A 16,456-nucleotide genomic window follows, 5' to 3' on the forward strand; every position below is an offset into this window, starting at 1 on the left:
TGTTGGCCAGGCTGGTCTCAAATTTCTGGGCTCAAGTGATCCTCCTGCCTTGGCCTTCCAAATTTCTGGGATTACAGGTGTGAGCCACTGCACCCAGCCCTAGAAGGATTCTTTTAAGCAGGTCAGTTGCTCTGCCTTTACTTTCTGCCAACTTTTTTCTCAGTTCTAAATGATGAGAAAAAAGTGATGTTATATCCTTTTCCAACTCTCTTACAAGGTATATTCCATAATTGTGTTTTAATGTGATATTTATTGGCATACAGAAGGGTACATAAACCATAAATATGTAGCCTAATAAAGGTCTAATATTTATGAACCCTTACTCTTATAGTAGAGACAAAGTTTTACTGTATTGCCAAGGCTGATCTCGAACTCCTGGGCTCAAGCAATCCTCCCATTCCAGCCTTCCAAAGTGCTGGGATTACAGGTATGAGCCACCACACATGAGTCAACAAGGTGAAAAAAACCTCTTGTAATCACCACCCAATCAAGAGAATATTACCAGCATCCTAAAATTCCCTACTGTGTCCCATTACAAACACTACTCAAGCTGCCTTTTAATGCCACAGATAGTATTGCCTGACTCTGAACTGTGTATACAAGGAATTATATGGTAATTCCACATCTGACTTCTTCCACTTAGTATTATGTTTGATTCAGCAATGCTGTTGGTACATATTTTAAAGTAAAAAGTAGTCTTGGATGTGTAATATGCAAGTATGTCTGTCAAAAAAGACTAAGATGCTGTTAAGAACAAACAATAGTAAGAAATATTGTCAGTACTTTACTTATACCCAATATGATTCACTTATGTACTTTACTTGCCTGGCTGTTTTAGGTGTTTTTTAACCTTTATGTTGAAGTAAAATATACAGAAAAGGATGTATATGTATACAGCTTGATTAATTTTCTCAACTGAATATACCTGCATAACCACTACTCAGATAAAAAGCTGAATATTATCAGCACCCATAAAACTTCCTTTTTGGTCATCTTCCAGTACCTACTTACCCCCAAGGATAATACTATCTTGAATACAACATAAATTAGTTTTGCCTGCTTTTAATTTTGTGAAATGATATCATGTGGAATATACTCTTTTTTTTTTTGCCCGGCTTCATATTTGTAAAACTATTCCTGTTTTTTTTGCATGTGGTTACAGAATATTCATTATTATTACTGTGTGGTATTTCATTATATGAATATACTATTATTTATTTAGTCATTCTATTGTTAGAATAGGTGGTAGAATGGGAATTGGGAAATTTCCAGTCTGGGGCCATTACAAATAATGATGCTCTAAAGGTTTATTTTGGTGCAGATATATATGCATTTCTGTTGAGAAAACTAGAAACTAGGAATCTACCTAGTAGTGAAATTGTTAATTCACAGTGTACATTTACGTCCAGTTTGGTGATTACCAGAGTCTCCAAGCTGGTTGTATCAATTTATGCTTCTACCATCAGTGTTTGAGAGCATTCTAGTGGCTCTATAACCTTGTCTGCATCTGGTATTATAATCTTGTCTACATTTGGTATTATAACCTTGTCTACATTTGGTATTATAACCTTGTCTACATTTGGTATTATAACCTTGTCTACATTTGGTATTATAACCTTGTCTACATTTGGTATTTAAGTTTGCATAATATGGGGGCAGTCTAATGCTATCTCACTGTAGTTTTACTTTGCATTTCCCTGGTTACTAATGAGGTAATCAAATATTCATACGTTTCTTAAATATTCATTTTTGTAATGTGCCTATTCAACTAAAAATTTGAACACACTACCTTTTCTCTGACTTGTAAGAGTTGTTTATATATTCCAGATATAAGATCTTGTGGGATAGATAGATATTGATATAGATGCAGATATGCAGGTATGTATACCTTTGTGCTCTCTTAATAATCTGTGTTTAGAATTTTCATGTAATTCAGTTCATCAATTGTTTCCTTTAAGGCTAGTGCTTTGTAGATCCTATTTAAGAAATCTTTGCCTGTCCCCAAATCATGAAGATATTTTCATACGTTTTCTTCTATAAGCTTTAATGTTTTACCTTTCACATTGATCTCTGCAATATACCTAGAATTGATTTTTGTGTACGATGTAATGTAGGAGTCGTTTCTTTTTTTCCCCCCCTGTATGCATATCCAGATGTCCCAGTATCACTTACTGAGAGACAGTATATTCCCCTCTGCTGTACAGTGCCACCTTTATCAAAGCCATAGTGTCCATATGTGTGTGAGTTTATTTCTGCAGACTGTAGCGTGTTCATTGGTCTATTTGTCTATTATTACACTTTGCTTTTACTACTATTGCTTTAAAATATGTCTTCATATCTGGTAAAGTAAGTCCTCCAACTGTATTCCTCTTATTCAGGAATATTCTGGCTATTCTTGGCTCTTTACATTTCTATATAAGTGCGAGTATCAATATTTGGATCCTCTGTGGGTCTATTTCTATTTTCTGAGTTTTTTTTTAATTGGTTTACTGTCAAAATTATTCAATGGCTTACCATGGCCCAGAGGATAAAGTCTAGGTTTCTTATCGTAGCATAAAAGCTTTTTTGCATTTCCATGATTACTAACGAGGCAATCAAATAGTCATATGTTTCTTGGATATTTAGATAATCACTTTTGTAATGTGCCCATTTGAATCTTTTGAAAAATGGACTTTTTTTTTTTTACCTTTTCTGATTTACAACTCCTTTTTTTTTTTTTTTTTTGGTTTTGAGATGGAGTTTTGCTCTTGTTGCCTAGGCTAGAATGCAATGGCGCAATCTCGGCTCACCGCAACTTCTGCCTTCCGGGTTCAAGCAATTCTCCTGCCTCAGCCTCCCGATTAGCTGGGATTACAGGCATGTGCCACCACGCCTGGCTAATTGTGTATTTTTAGTAGAGACAGGGTTTCACCATGCTGGCCAGGCTGGTCTTGAACTCCTGACCTCAAGTGATCTGCCCGCCTCAGCCTCCCAAAATGCTACTAATTTTTGCATCCAAAATGATTGAATGATGGTCCCTAATAATTAATAACATGTAAGACTTTGTGGTGCTAAAAGCTTCTGACTTTCTAAAGAAGTTTGGGCTGAGTCCAAGTAGAGACTTCTCACTTGGAGACACTTAGCAACTTCCCTTTCCGGCCTTCAGGATTTCTTGTCAGCCTTCCTTCTTAGATCCACATAGGCCAGTCTAAGTCCAGCTGCCCCTCACAAGAAGCCTGGGCTGTTAAGTCCAAATTTAGGCTCCTCATTTGGAGAGAGTTAGAGCTCCACCGCCTCAAACAGTATATTTCTTTAGGAGATTGCCAAGCAGGAAAAATGCTTCAAGCAATATCTAATTACTAATGGAAATGAAATGAATGACTTAGCTTCCCACTCTTTACTGCATTCAAGTGATACCCAACATGTTTAAGTGCTGCTCTGAAAGCTCTTTTATACAAATTATTTATATAATCTTTCATCAGCCTTAGTGGACTGGATCCAAATCCTGCATAGGTAATAACAAACTGTTGCCGATCACTTTGACATCAATGAGATATAATGTCATCTTTTCTCTGCGGTTACATGTGCATAAGTGTTATTTCACTTACATGTATACACTGGGGGAGAAATCAAGTAGGAATAGATCGTGCCACCAGCTAGAAGTGGTTGTTTCTTGTAGCTGAGCTGGATTCTCCCAAAGAAGTGTTTCACTAAAGTGTTTGCTTCAGAATGGCTCTGTTCTGCTGCAGTGAGAAGAGACTTCCAGTGAAAACATTTAATTAGCTCCCAATTTAGACGGCCAGAATGATCAGTCAGCCTGTGTTTTGGAACCTGCATTTGTACATTCCTTGGGATTGGTTAGTGAGTTTTCCCAGCGGATGTGGTCAAATGTGAATAGTTTGTATGTAATTCACATCAGAGAATAGGTTTTTCTCCAGCTCCTTGTAGGACAGCGAGAAAGGGATTAGGAAAAAGTGAGCAATATAGCGGTAATACTTCTCTGTCTTTTCCGCAACCAATAATAAAGGTATCTAGTCTCAGAAGTCACAGAGACTAGGAAGAATATATGGAAAGTGAGTGAGCAAGAGTCAAATTGAAGATAGTTTGACTGTTTTCACTCCCTTTCAGGGTAATCATGATTTGGGTAGTGGCTTTAGACACACTGAATATTAAGTAAATTTTTTTAGCTAATACAAATAAATTGCTATGCTAGAGTTTGTGTGTGTGTGAATGTGTGTGTTGTATGTCTGTGAAAAATTCCACTCTTCAGTCAAACTAACCTCCCTCTTTATTTCTGTCACATAAATTTAGCATCCTTTATCTGTTTGGTTCATGATGGGAATCTTTTAATCAAATTCTAGACAGTAGTTATAAATTAGCCTAATGAGTTTATAATACTTCGCTAAGAGAATATCTTCAGCTGTTCTATTAGGTTAGTGTAAAAGTAATTGCAGTTTTTACCATTACTTTTAATGGCATAACCTGCAATTACTTTTACACCAATCTAATACATTCCTTCTGGTGAAAGGGGCCTTAGGAAGCCGAGTGCCTTTGGATCCTTCCCAGCCTAGTTCTTTCTCCTTCACACAACTTCAAATTTGTCTGTCATTTTTCTAATCCTAGCATTTTATGTTCTAAAAATAGCAAATAGCTTATGGATCCCTGCATTGTCTATGACATTTCACATTACTGTGCTTTTGACCATGAACTTTTCTTGCCCGTCTCTATCGGGGCGAAGGGCCTCTCCTCTGAGTTCCCTTCTACGGTCATGATTAACACAATGCCTGGCAAAGGAGGTTCTCAACACATTTGTGTGAATGAATACATAATATCAGCAACATATATTGAATTATCTTCCTTGTGTCTCTGTTTACTAGAATTTGCACATCTTGAGATCAAGGACTCTGTTCTATTCGTGGTATTCATATTTGTATTCCCAGAGTTCAGCTGGAAGCCTGGATAGAATATGGAGGGTGCTTAAAAATGATATGATTACAGAACAGATGGGAAACATTTTAATACCTTCGAAACAACTAGAACTAGGCTTCATTCTGGGGGCAATACCACTTCTTTGAAATATTTCCTCATGTCAGAATTTCCCAAGACACCGAAGCCAAGAGCTGACAGATGAAGATGTGTCACTGTGGAATGTGACTAGTACACAATTTTCTCATGTCCTCTTGCCTCAGGTGATGCAGCTGGTGAGAGGGAAAGAGTAGGCGATTTACAAAGGATATTTGCCAGTAAATACAACAGTCTCTCAGAGCTTCAGGAGATGAATTGACATAATCTGATAAAGCATAAGAGTGTGAAGGTTTTCATTAAGAATAATTTGTAGAAGAAAGTTTTGCTAATGTCAAAGATTTGTGGGGAAGAATCGGAACAGAAACAGAAAGTAAACCAAGGCTACTGTCAGTGAACCATTTGTATCGTAATAGTCCATCAATTGAAATCTTGTGTTTCCTTTTCAAATTTCATTCTTTTTGATGCATACAAGTGAGTTAAAGCAAGGAAGGAAAGAAACATACACGTGGGCAACATGGCTAATTAATACATAATTGCTTTGATTCATATGCCCCATTCATGCAGAGCGTATTTTTGTAAAATAAACTTCGTGAGCTTTGGAATTGGCAATGAACTCTTGAGTTGAGTGTAAAAGATAACATTCTTGGAAAACTTTTTGAGACATTCTAGTCTGTGTTTCAAAAATGAATATGAATAACAATGAGAAGGCTTTATTTAGAGGAACCTCATATCTGTGAAAGTCTATATTTTTTAAATGGCCTGGATATTTGTTTCTTTGTTCTTTATCATTTAGCAAAACAGAAAGAATTTTATTTCTTTGGATTCTAAAATGTAATACCCTACTTGTTGTCAGATGCCCAAATGAGCACTGGAACCTGGGTCTCCACAGAAAATAAGCAGGGAGGACTATTAAAGCCAAAAACAAAGTAGTCTGCAGCAAAACAAAAGACAAGTACTTCTGAAGAATAAGCCCTCTGAGAAAACCAAGAGCTAAGTGAGGACATTGCTGTGGTGGTGTGGGTGCATAATAGGAGATGATGGAATAAATGATCTCATCAGGTTTCTGATACCTTGGTTTTCTGGGTTATTGTAATAGGTTATCATTATTCTGAAGCAAGCAATCTTCGTTTTTTCTTACTTGCATGGGAAACACAATTACTCATAAGCTGAGAATATCTGCAGAAGCTTGAAAGTAGATGTATCAACTACTTAGGACTACTTGATATGCTTAGCAGAAAGTTATTGCAAGTTTTGGCTAGTCTATTAATGCACACAATTACAACACAAATCCCAGGTTTTGATTTGTGCTTCAGTAAATTCACACTCATATCATACCTTTAATATGCATGAGTTTAAAAACAAGACAGCCAGATAGAATATAAATTGACCTGATCATCAGTAAACTTTAATTATTTTCTTAGGTTTATTGCAGATTCCCTGAAAACATTCTAATTAGTGTCTAAATACAGAAAATTGAACTGGTGATAGCATATTGGCCATCAGTTTGAAAGAAGGTATCATTTCTGAAATTTTCTCTAAGAAAATTTGTGTATGCAATATAAATAGAGTAAAAATAAAAAGACCACCTTTACTCATTTAGGTAACTTAAAAATGGCACATTTAAAAATTTACTCCAGGCAGGCCTAATCTAATGACGTAGAAGTCTACATAGTATCACTGACTTTAGAGAGTATACTTTGTCTTGGTGCTCTGAGATCTTACCCTCTTGCAAAGTTGCCTCCATTTCTCTTTTCTCTTTTCCTCACTCCATTCTTGGTCCTGTAACGTTGGAAAGAAAACTGTCTTGTATTAATTCATACATAGCTTTTACTCTCTTACCTTCCAGGGGCATTGGCAAAATCAAAATTGTTTTCCCTGCATGGGAGATGAAGTCTTCTCCCCATGTAAACAGAAGTGAGAGCTCTGGCACATCCTTTGACTTCCCTGAAAGGATGGATGCTTGTTTATATAACTGTGGTCTCTGTGCCTGGAAATGGTGGCATTATTCATGCCTTTCTTTACAGAAGGCAGTGGTACCAACATTATGGGAGAATTAGGCATTTTCTCCTGACTTTGCATAATTGCGATGCCCATAAAGTCACCAAAGTGTCTTTCATGCTGTAGGCGTTCCAGGAGTATTTGCTGAACTTAAGAGTGGATTTATTTGTTTCTTCATCAGTCTCTATTCCATTCATTTCTATCCAGCTGCAGACACCATTAGACAAGGTCCATCTTTTCTCCAGTCGGCCTGTATTCAGTGTGTCTGAAGAGAGTTATCTGCTCAAGATTCACCCTCAGCTTTGCACGGGTATTTTGATTATAGCTCTATTCTCAACGTGCCCACCTATACTCTAGGTGTGGTCCTACCCTGAATGCCAGCCTGCTTTGCTATGACCCTGATGCCTCCACCTATCTTTTCAATACACACTGGTATTGCATGCAGTCCTTCTCCAAATTGATCGGACACCCAGGACAAGAATGTTGTCCCCATTTGCTCCTGTGTACTCTTCTGCTGTTCTAGTCACCTAGGAGGTCAGGAGTCCTGCAGTATTGACATCTGTCTGAATGCTGCCTAGGTTTGGACACACATTTGTTCTGGTTTCTTTACCCCTGCTGGGGCCAGCCCTAAAGATAGACTGGTTTCCTTTAGCTTAAACCCACTGCTTTCAATTTATTTACTTCCACACTGGTCTGCTTGCATGAGTTAAGAACATATAAGTCATCTTTTTATTTCATCCTCATATCATCATCATCATCATCTTTGTCAACTTTACAGATAGTTGTAAGAAAAGCCCTCAGCAAATGTCAGCTATTTTTTTTTTCCTGGACTTCTAAATGACCAAATGTATTTTTAAAACTCTAATAAACTCCTTAGTATCACTGCTCAATAGGTGGCATTAATCCCATATTTTTCTACTCCACTTTCTGTTATTGTATATCACAGGTTTTTGTTTGGAAAGATCATCCTGATTTGAGTGTAGAGGTAGAAGAAAGACAAGATTAGGGGCAGTGAGGCCAGTTACGAGGCTCTTTAAGGATTCTAGGTAAGAGATGGTAGTGACCCAAAACAGGAAAAAACACAGTGGTATTATACAGAAGTAGAAAGGCTTAAGCAGTAAGATTTTAAAAATACTGTATTGATTGGATGTGTGAGGAGAAACAGAAGTGACATTTTTCTCTGTGGCTTGGACTACTGTTGGGCTAATTAAATGATTCCATTACAAATAGGAGAAATGGAGAGGATTAGGCTCTTGGGTTCAGGGACAAGATGTCTGTGGGATATTCAAGAGCAGTTAGATAATTGGAGATATGTACTTTGTGCTCTCAATACAGGACTGGACTGGAAATATATTGGAAGCCATCAGCATATAGATCATAATGGAAACGTGGAAAGATAAGATCATCTAGAGAGACTATATAATGAAAGAGCTAAGAGAGCCTAGAACTGAGCATGGTAGAACACCAAATTTAACAGATGTTCAGAAAGATTAGAGCCTCAGGGAGACTGAGATTAGCATGGTCAACATTCATTCAATAAATGTGATTGGTAAAACCCTAAGCATTACTGAACCTTTATCAAACCTTGTGAGGGACCCTCAAGGAAAAATTAAACCTGGACATTAAAATAAGGTAGAGTAGTAATAACATGATCCCTGCAACCCTAACTAAGGCATATCCTAAAGCCATTTTAGAATTTCCAGGCTATTATCAGCAAAAGAATATCTAGCTTAGAACTGCAATTAAACAGGGAAAGGATAAGGAGAGAGCTTTAGAGTTAATTGTACAAAAGGTCTGAAAGAAGGAATAATAATTAGTCTGAAGGGATGGTAAGTTATTTAATACTCTTTGGAAAGAGAGAGCTAGATTGGATTGGTTAATGAGCAGACAAGTAGAGCTAGCTTCCTCTGGCTCTTTCTGGGATTCCCAATACCTCCAGAGAGGGAAGGGGTGGCCAAGATGGCATGGCGGAGGTGAGGCTGGGAAGGTGGGAGAACCTTCACAATCGTGACTGTAACATCTTAAAAGAGAGCTACTTCAGTCCTTAGCCTCAACATTTCCTGACTCATTCTTATTACTGGGACTTTTGAGGGAGGGCGGTTTTGTTTGATAAACTTTATCTACCACTTCCTAAACTTAAATAGACCACTGATATGATTTGTCTTTATAGACAAATAATTACACTGTACAAGTCTTAGGTGAAAACAAATAAAATTTTACAGTGTTTTTAATAATACTACAATGATGCAGTGGGACTGGCCTAGCTGGAATGATGATGTCACAACAGCGATGGTTCTCATTTATTCAGTATTAGTAGGTGCCAGGCCCTGGAGCAAATATTTTATATACATTCTCTCAAGTCCTTGTAACTTTACACATAATCTTCACTTCTAAAGAAAAATAGTGCCTACATTTACATATCCAAGTATATTTGCTTCTAATGTTACTTATCTTTTCGTTGTATTTTAAGGTAATTAATAAATATCAAATTACTCTAGCCTTTAACATGATTGGTTGAGTCTATATATAGTCGCTAACATACGTCAAAGCTTATTTTAATACTTTAGTTTGTGCTTGACTGTCAAAGGAGATCGTTCCACCCAATTTAGTTTAGGAAAATAATCTTTCTCTAAACCTATTTGAACACAAACTGAAACTTTATTTCTTTAAAAATTTGGTAATGTGACATAAAGGTGTTCTGCGTCTGGCTGTTTTGAAGACATTCATGATTCTATGAAGAAAGATCATTAAGGAATCACCAAATCAATGTTCTTATGACTGCAATTTTGGGTTATGCTTCTTTAATATTAGAAAGTTTTATAATCTACTAACTAGGGGGTAAATTCCTAGGAGAATAAACTGTTGCAGTTTTGATTTATTGCATAAACTTGTCAAACTCTCTTTAAGAACTATGAGTTATATTGATAAACTACATAGGTTTCTATTTATACAATTTTTCCTGATTATAAGGCACTGTAATCTTTATGGCTTTGTTTTGGACTGTTTTATATATTTCCTTAAAAACAAGAAGTAGACAACACTGTTGCATACGTGACCAGGCTGCATTGATTTTTAGGGACCATCTGTGTTTCCACGGGGTCCAGCGTGGCTTTTCCATTGTCATCAGTGTGTGCTCCTGACCTTTTTACTAGGCCGGGCCTCCAGATTCATCACAGATCCTAACCCAGCCTTTTGCAGATGTCTGAAAGGAAATAGCAAGATAAAATTAGGTTACCCTCTACAATGAGATGAATACATTCTCCTTGAGACCACATTTGATGAACATCTTCATCCTTGCTTATTCTGCTAAGTAATAGTCTCTATAACCATAGCTTCAAAAACCATACACTGATGATCCCAAAATCTACAGAACATTTTCATCTGCTGGTTATATACATATCCAGGTTGCCTATTGACATCCCACTGGATGATTGTATTTGTCTGTTTTCACACTGATATAAAGATACCCTCTGAGAATGGCTAATTTATAAATAAAAGAGGTTTAACTGACTCACAGTTCTGCATGGCTGGGGAAGCCTCAGGAAACTTACAGTCATGGAAGAAGGTAAAGGAGAAGCAAGCACCTTCTTCACAAGGTGGCAGGAGAGAGAGAGAGAGAGACGCAGGGGAAACAGCTACTTTTAAACCACCAGATCTCATGAGAACACCCTCACTATCATGAGAATAGCATGGGGAAAATCACCTGCATGATTCAATCACCTCACACCAGTGGCCTCCCTTGACATCTGGGGATTACAATTCAAAGTGAGATTTGGGGGGAACATAGAGTCAAACCATATCAATGATCTGTAAGTAACTCAAACTCAACATGTCCAAAGTGAACTCCTCACTTTTTCTCCAAATCCTCAAAATTGTCCTTTCCCCCTCATTTCAGTTAAGGGCTTTCAAAGTCACCTACTAACTTACTCATAAGAAGGAATTTATCTGTTACAATGTGTCTGGGTGTAAGTAACAGACAATCCTGACTCCACTAGCTCTAATTGTAAGGAATTTATTATCTCATATAATAAGAAGTCTGAAGTTAGGATATTTCTTAACTGGTTAATTCACTGGCTCTATGTAATCATCAAGAACATAGGTACTTTATATGTTTCCATGTGGCCATCCTTGGCATATGTACCTCTTCTGTAGATTAGTTGCAAGCTGACTTCAGCAATTCCAGATTTCACATCTTTAAGACAATATCCAAGAACAAAGAAGTGTTTCTCTTGATTATGACTCATTATAAGATTAAGACAATTTTTACCCCAGAACTAAGCTCTAACTTTTTGTATCTAGCATGGAAAGTGAAGTCTAGGAAAACAGAAAATGTATTTGGTAAACACATAGATCGTCTTTATCTTGGTTTTAATATCATTAAATCATAACTTATGACTGGAGACTCCTACTTCCATCCATAAAAAAGTACCTGGTAGCACATTTACCATTTTACTGTAAATAACTAGAAAGCAGAGTAAAACCTGTATCATTGGAAACAGGCACTGGACAATGGGCAGCCAGAACTGTGACATCTGAGAGAAGGGAGACAAAGGAGGTGAGCTCAGTGAATGTACTTGTTTCCTGCCTGAAGGCATTTGCTACATGGTGCATGTAGCAAGACCTCAAAGAGAGAACTTCAGTCTTGCAGAGTAGAGGAGTAGAGACTGGACTTCAGGGAGGCAGAGACAGCAGAAATTTGCAGAGCAAACCACCAGAGAGGAGAATGCTATGAGAGAAAGACACCCACATTTCTGCATTGGGATCCCTTGAGCCTGTTGCTGAATACTGAATTGCATGCGTAGGATAAAACTCCACAAAACTGGGCAGAAAACAACCAGATGACAGGGAAGCTGTAAGACGAACAATTCCTAGAGCTCACATACAATTCATGATTGGGGTAAAACTTTGTCCATCTTTATTTATCTAAAGCAAGTGTAGCAAATTGATCTAATCAGGACATCAGGCGTCATGTGCTAAAATATTCAGAGTGTCCATTCTAAGGGCTGAATGCTATGTTGTAAGCTCTTCAAAATGACCAGTCTCTGAGAAGGATCATACCTGATCCTTCTCCCATTTGAGTGTACATGAGGAAAAACAAAGATAGGAAGCTGAGTTGGGTTTCATGGTTAACCCTGAACTTCCTTGCATGATCTAAGCAAAGCGCAAATTCATGCAGTTTTGTTTGTACTTAAATTACATGACGCACCTCTCCAAAGTTCTCTAATCCTCACCCATGCTGAGAGCCACGTGCAGGGTCATCCAGCTAGCAAGAATAAATAACCATTCAGGGCCTTTGGCTTTCTGTGTATGTAAGTCACGGAGGGGTTCTTGCTGGAGTGTAAAGAAAGAGAAACACATGGCAGCTCTCTAAAGCCTATTTCTGGAAACCTGACAGGAGGGAACAGATACCCATTGTTCAAAGCCTGTACAGTGTTTGGAGTCTGGAGTGGGAAATGCATGCTTAGTGAAGACCAAACCTTTGATGGATCAGAAATTGAAAAGACTTGTAATTAAACTGAAATTAAACCAGTGGTGACAGAGTGTTTTTTAGGTAAAAAGACATAGAGACATGAGAGCAAGAAAAACAGGGGTCAAGATCAAGGAGTTGCCAAATTCAATTGGATCAGAAATTCTCATAAGAAAACAAAAACAAAACACTGGAGGAGACCTGATTTCGCCTGCCACAGACTTGATCATGTCCATGAGGAAAAAAAAACATCGGTGCAACTCTTTTGCTATAAGTGATCTACAGCTCTATTCCCGTATGGCAATGGCCACCTTGGCAATACAACATAGTACATAGAATTATCAAATCTTAGCCTGCCAAAGAACTCCATAATACTGACATCTTTCTTTGAAAGCTGTTCATGCCTTAAGGCTTTTTGGATTCTGAACATCTAGAAAGCACTTGACAAAAAACCTAGACCTAGTACTACCTTTACTTGCACATAAGAGAGGCCCCTGCCATTAACTGCATATCACAAACACATGACAAATACTTTTAGTAAAAAACACATGAGTGCCCTTACTGTGGATCCAGTCCTCAGCACTGGCACAGCATGACCTATAACCCTAACCACTGCTCTCGTGACTAAAATGGCTCAGGCTCCAGGGAAATGCTTCTGCCTATCTCATGCCCTGTATCCTAGAAAAAGTGATTGTGTCTGTGCTGTTGCTGATGTAGAAGAGAGAAACTGTTTTGGAGTAGAGGCAAGATTTGAACAGCAGAAGCCCTTAGGTAAGAGAACAAGAAAATATTAAGTAACTTGTCAAATTCCTCCTCTCTAATAATATGAATGCAATTCATTCTTTCATAACAAAGTCTTGTTTCCAAGTAGTGCTGAGCCATTTTCTTACTCAAAAAGGAAGTTTTCTTACTTCTCTTCATGTTCCAATTGGTGGCTCCAGAAATACGCACAAACTAGTGTAGTATCCACAACCATCATATAACGTGGCTGTAGAGCATTCCACAATATTAAAAATTCATATTACTGTTAAATCTGTTTACCTCTTTTATTAGGCATGCCAATACCATGGGACTTCAACAAAGCAGCTAGAAATGCACAATAAAAATTAATGCAACGGTCTTCAATAGTTTTCTGGTCTTCAGTCACATAAAAACCATAGATTTATACATGCTTCCAATTCTGTCATTTTGAAAGTATATATGTCAAGGAAGAGAATCAAACATGTTTTTATAGTGTGTTAGCTTGATTAGTAACTTAAATATTAAGACATATGGTATGTTAACCTCTAATTTCACTCTTACCTGAGTGAAATTGCCCTGCCACCTTGAGTCCCAGGCCTGACCTGACCCAGCACTATCCAAGTTACCAGAGCTGGATGACTTGGCTTACTAGTACTGACATTTCAACAAAGAAAAAAAGTGGTGTCCTCCCAACCTGACAATATCTACTTATTCACCCAGAAAATATTGTTAGGTGCCTTAGGAGCTGGTAACGTCATTTCCTGTCTAAAGAATATTTTCTTTTCTTGGAAAAATCAGTCATTTTTATGTTCTACCTCCTACAAATTGTTGTCACTGCAATTTCTATGTTGTAAGTTGCAATATAGAACATGTGCAGAATAAATGCTGGTCCTATATAGAGAAAGGCTTAGGGGAAATACTTTTTGCAGGTCACTTCTTATATTACAATATTATGTTAAACAATATTATATTACAAAGTATTAAAATACCTTGTAATAACTCTACCTCTCATTGAACAGGACTCTAGAAATATTGTTTTATGAATTGTGTGTGGGGATAAAATAGGATGTCAAATGAGTGTGTTTACATGTATACACATACTATACACAAGTATCTATATTAGATATATATGTTTATAATGAATTTTCTTCTGCAAATGAACTAACACAGTGAGAGAGGAGGGAAATAACAAAAAAATGTAAGTCTGCATTGGGAACTGATGTAGTGCCCTGGAAAATTTTTCTGTAATATTAAGTAAAAGCCATCTATTCAAGCAAGTTGCCCAGAATAGAGAGAAGATGGTGGTTGTCCTTAAGGGCAAATGACAAAAAGGGGACCCCACCCTAAGGGAGAGTCCAGCAGCTGGGATTGTGAGTCCAAGTCTCCTGCTACTTCTCCTTTTACTACTGAGATGATTGAATATTTGAATGAGCAATCAGACACTATGTGTCTCATTATAAGACACTTGCTTCAGGTTCCAGGAGGCATCCCCTTCTCTCCCTTTTTCTTCCTATAAGTCCACAATGATTTGCACCTGGAATGCCACTTGTTTTTATTCTCAATTATTTCTCAACTAGTCTTGGGATAAAGACCTACACCTTCTCTTCTGAAGAAAAGTTAAGAAATCTTGACTAGCACTTTGAGATCAAGCTCAATAAGTCTTGTCTTTAAAACCATAACTTTGAGAAGATCACTACAAAAGATTCCATTTATTCCTAATATATGGCAGAGACTTAGGAGAAACCTTTTGGAGAATGAAATCTAAACTGTAAGAGAGAGTATATGATATGACGTATCACTTTAAAAATATGGCTTTTTTTTTCATTAAAATGCTATGTGAAACTTAGCATGTCAACAAAATAATGGAGTTGGGTTTTTGATGGACATAATAGCACTGGACTTATAACATCCAAGATTTCTTAAAATTGCTTTAAAATTAATTATATTTTGAGGAAAATTAGGTGAAGGTTCACATCATTGGGAGATAATTATAGACACCCTCCCTTAAGTGTTGCAAAACCAGACTCCTGATATCTATGATGCCATCATTCATGTAATAGAGAATATTATCACTTGGCTTCATTATTGTTTTCTTATTTCTTTTACTTGTGTATTTCATAAAGCCCTTTGAAATGAAAATCCCATTGTAGAGTTGTAAAAGTGAAAATAATCTTTAAATAAGATATTCATTGTTGTTATGATTTTTCTTTCCATAAAATTAGAATTCTGCATAGTAATTATCTTAGCCCATTTAGGCTGCTATAACAGAATACCATAGACCAGGTGGCTTATAAACAAAGGAAATTTATTTTGCACAGCTCTGAAGGCTGGGAAGTCCAAAGTCAAGGCACTGGTAGATTTGGCATCTGGCAAGGGCCCCCTTCTGGTCATAGACATCCATGTTCTCATTGTATCCTACATGGCAGGAGGGGAGAGGGGGAGTTCGTTGATGTCTCTCTTACGAGAGCCCTAATCTCATCCATTACTTGACTCTCATGATCTAATCACCTACCAAAGGCTCCCTCTCCTAATATCATCACATTGGGGGTTAGGGGTTCAACTTGTAAATTTTTGGGGGGCATACAAACATTTAGTCTATAACAATAATGAAAATTAATATTTTCTCCTCTTCCAGGTTTTAATATTAAACCTCCTATTTTCCCTCCACCTTATCTCCCTTTCTCTTAAGTCATTTTATGCAGTCCTTTGTTTCTGATTCTCAATAGACATGTCTTTAACATTAATTTATGTGTCCCAAACTATTTTATAGGTCTTTCTATTCATATAATTTTTTTCCTACATAGTTTGGTTCTCACTTTCAGAGGTTTTCTATCAGAATTTGCAGTTGGCTAATTTCTTTATGTTGATGAAAATCCATATGGTTGCTTTTATGTGTTTGATTATGGGGCCTTTCTGCCAAATCCAATCCCTTCATTCCTTACCTCCCCACACCTACTGCCAAATGGTGGTCAGTTAGTATATTTTGCCCATAACTTGGATATGGCTATCAAAACTAATTAATTTGCTTGACCATTTGGCTACCCAAGTTTCTATCTCAGCTCTCTTCCGCATTATCCACCCCAAACTATCTCAGCTCTTTTCCCCATTATCTTTCCAAAACTGTGCCAGGTTTGACAAACTTATTAACCAAAAAGAAAATACTTAATTTTAAAAAATAACTGCATGTCTAGATTGGCCTCACTGGTCTTGGCTGGAGCGTTGGAGAAATTTTATCTTCTCCTTTCT

The 16,456-nt window shown here is 37.2% G+C and overlaps 1 non-coding gene across 1 annotated transcript; it reads right to left on the minus strand.

Moving 5' to 3' along the window:
• Positions 1-4,411: 4,411 nt before the first annotated feature.
• On the minus strand, positions 4,412-4,483 carry MIR548AJ1 (microRNA 548aj-1). The gene has a single exon (NR_039673.1). It is a non-coding gene; the product is annotated as a microRNA 548aj-1 (primary transcript).
• Positions 4,484-16,456: the final 11,973 nt, after the last annotated feature.

This window comes from Homo sapiens, chromosome 6, assembly GCF_000001405.40.
Source record: "Homo sapiens chromosome 6, GRCh38.p14 Primary Assembly".
NCBI classification, from domain to species: Eukaryota; Metazoa; Chordata; class Mammalia; order Primates; family Hominidae; genus Homo; species Homo sapiens.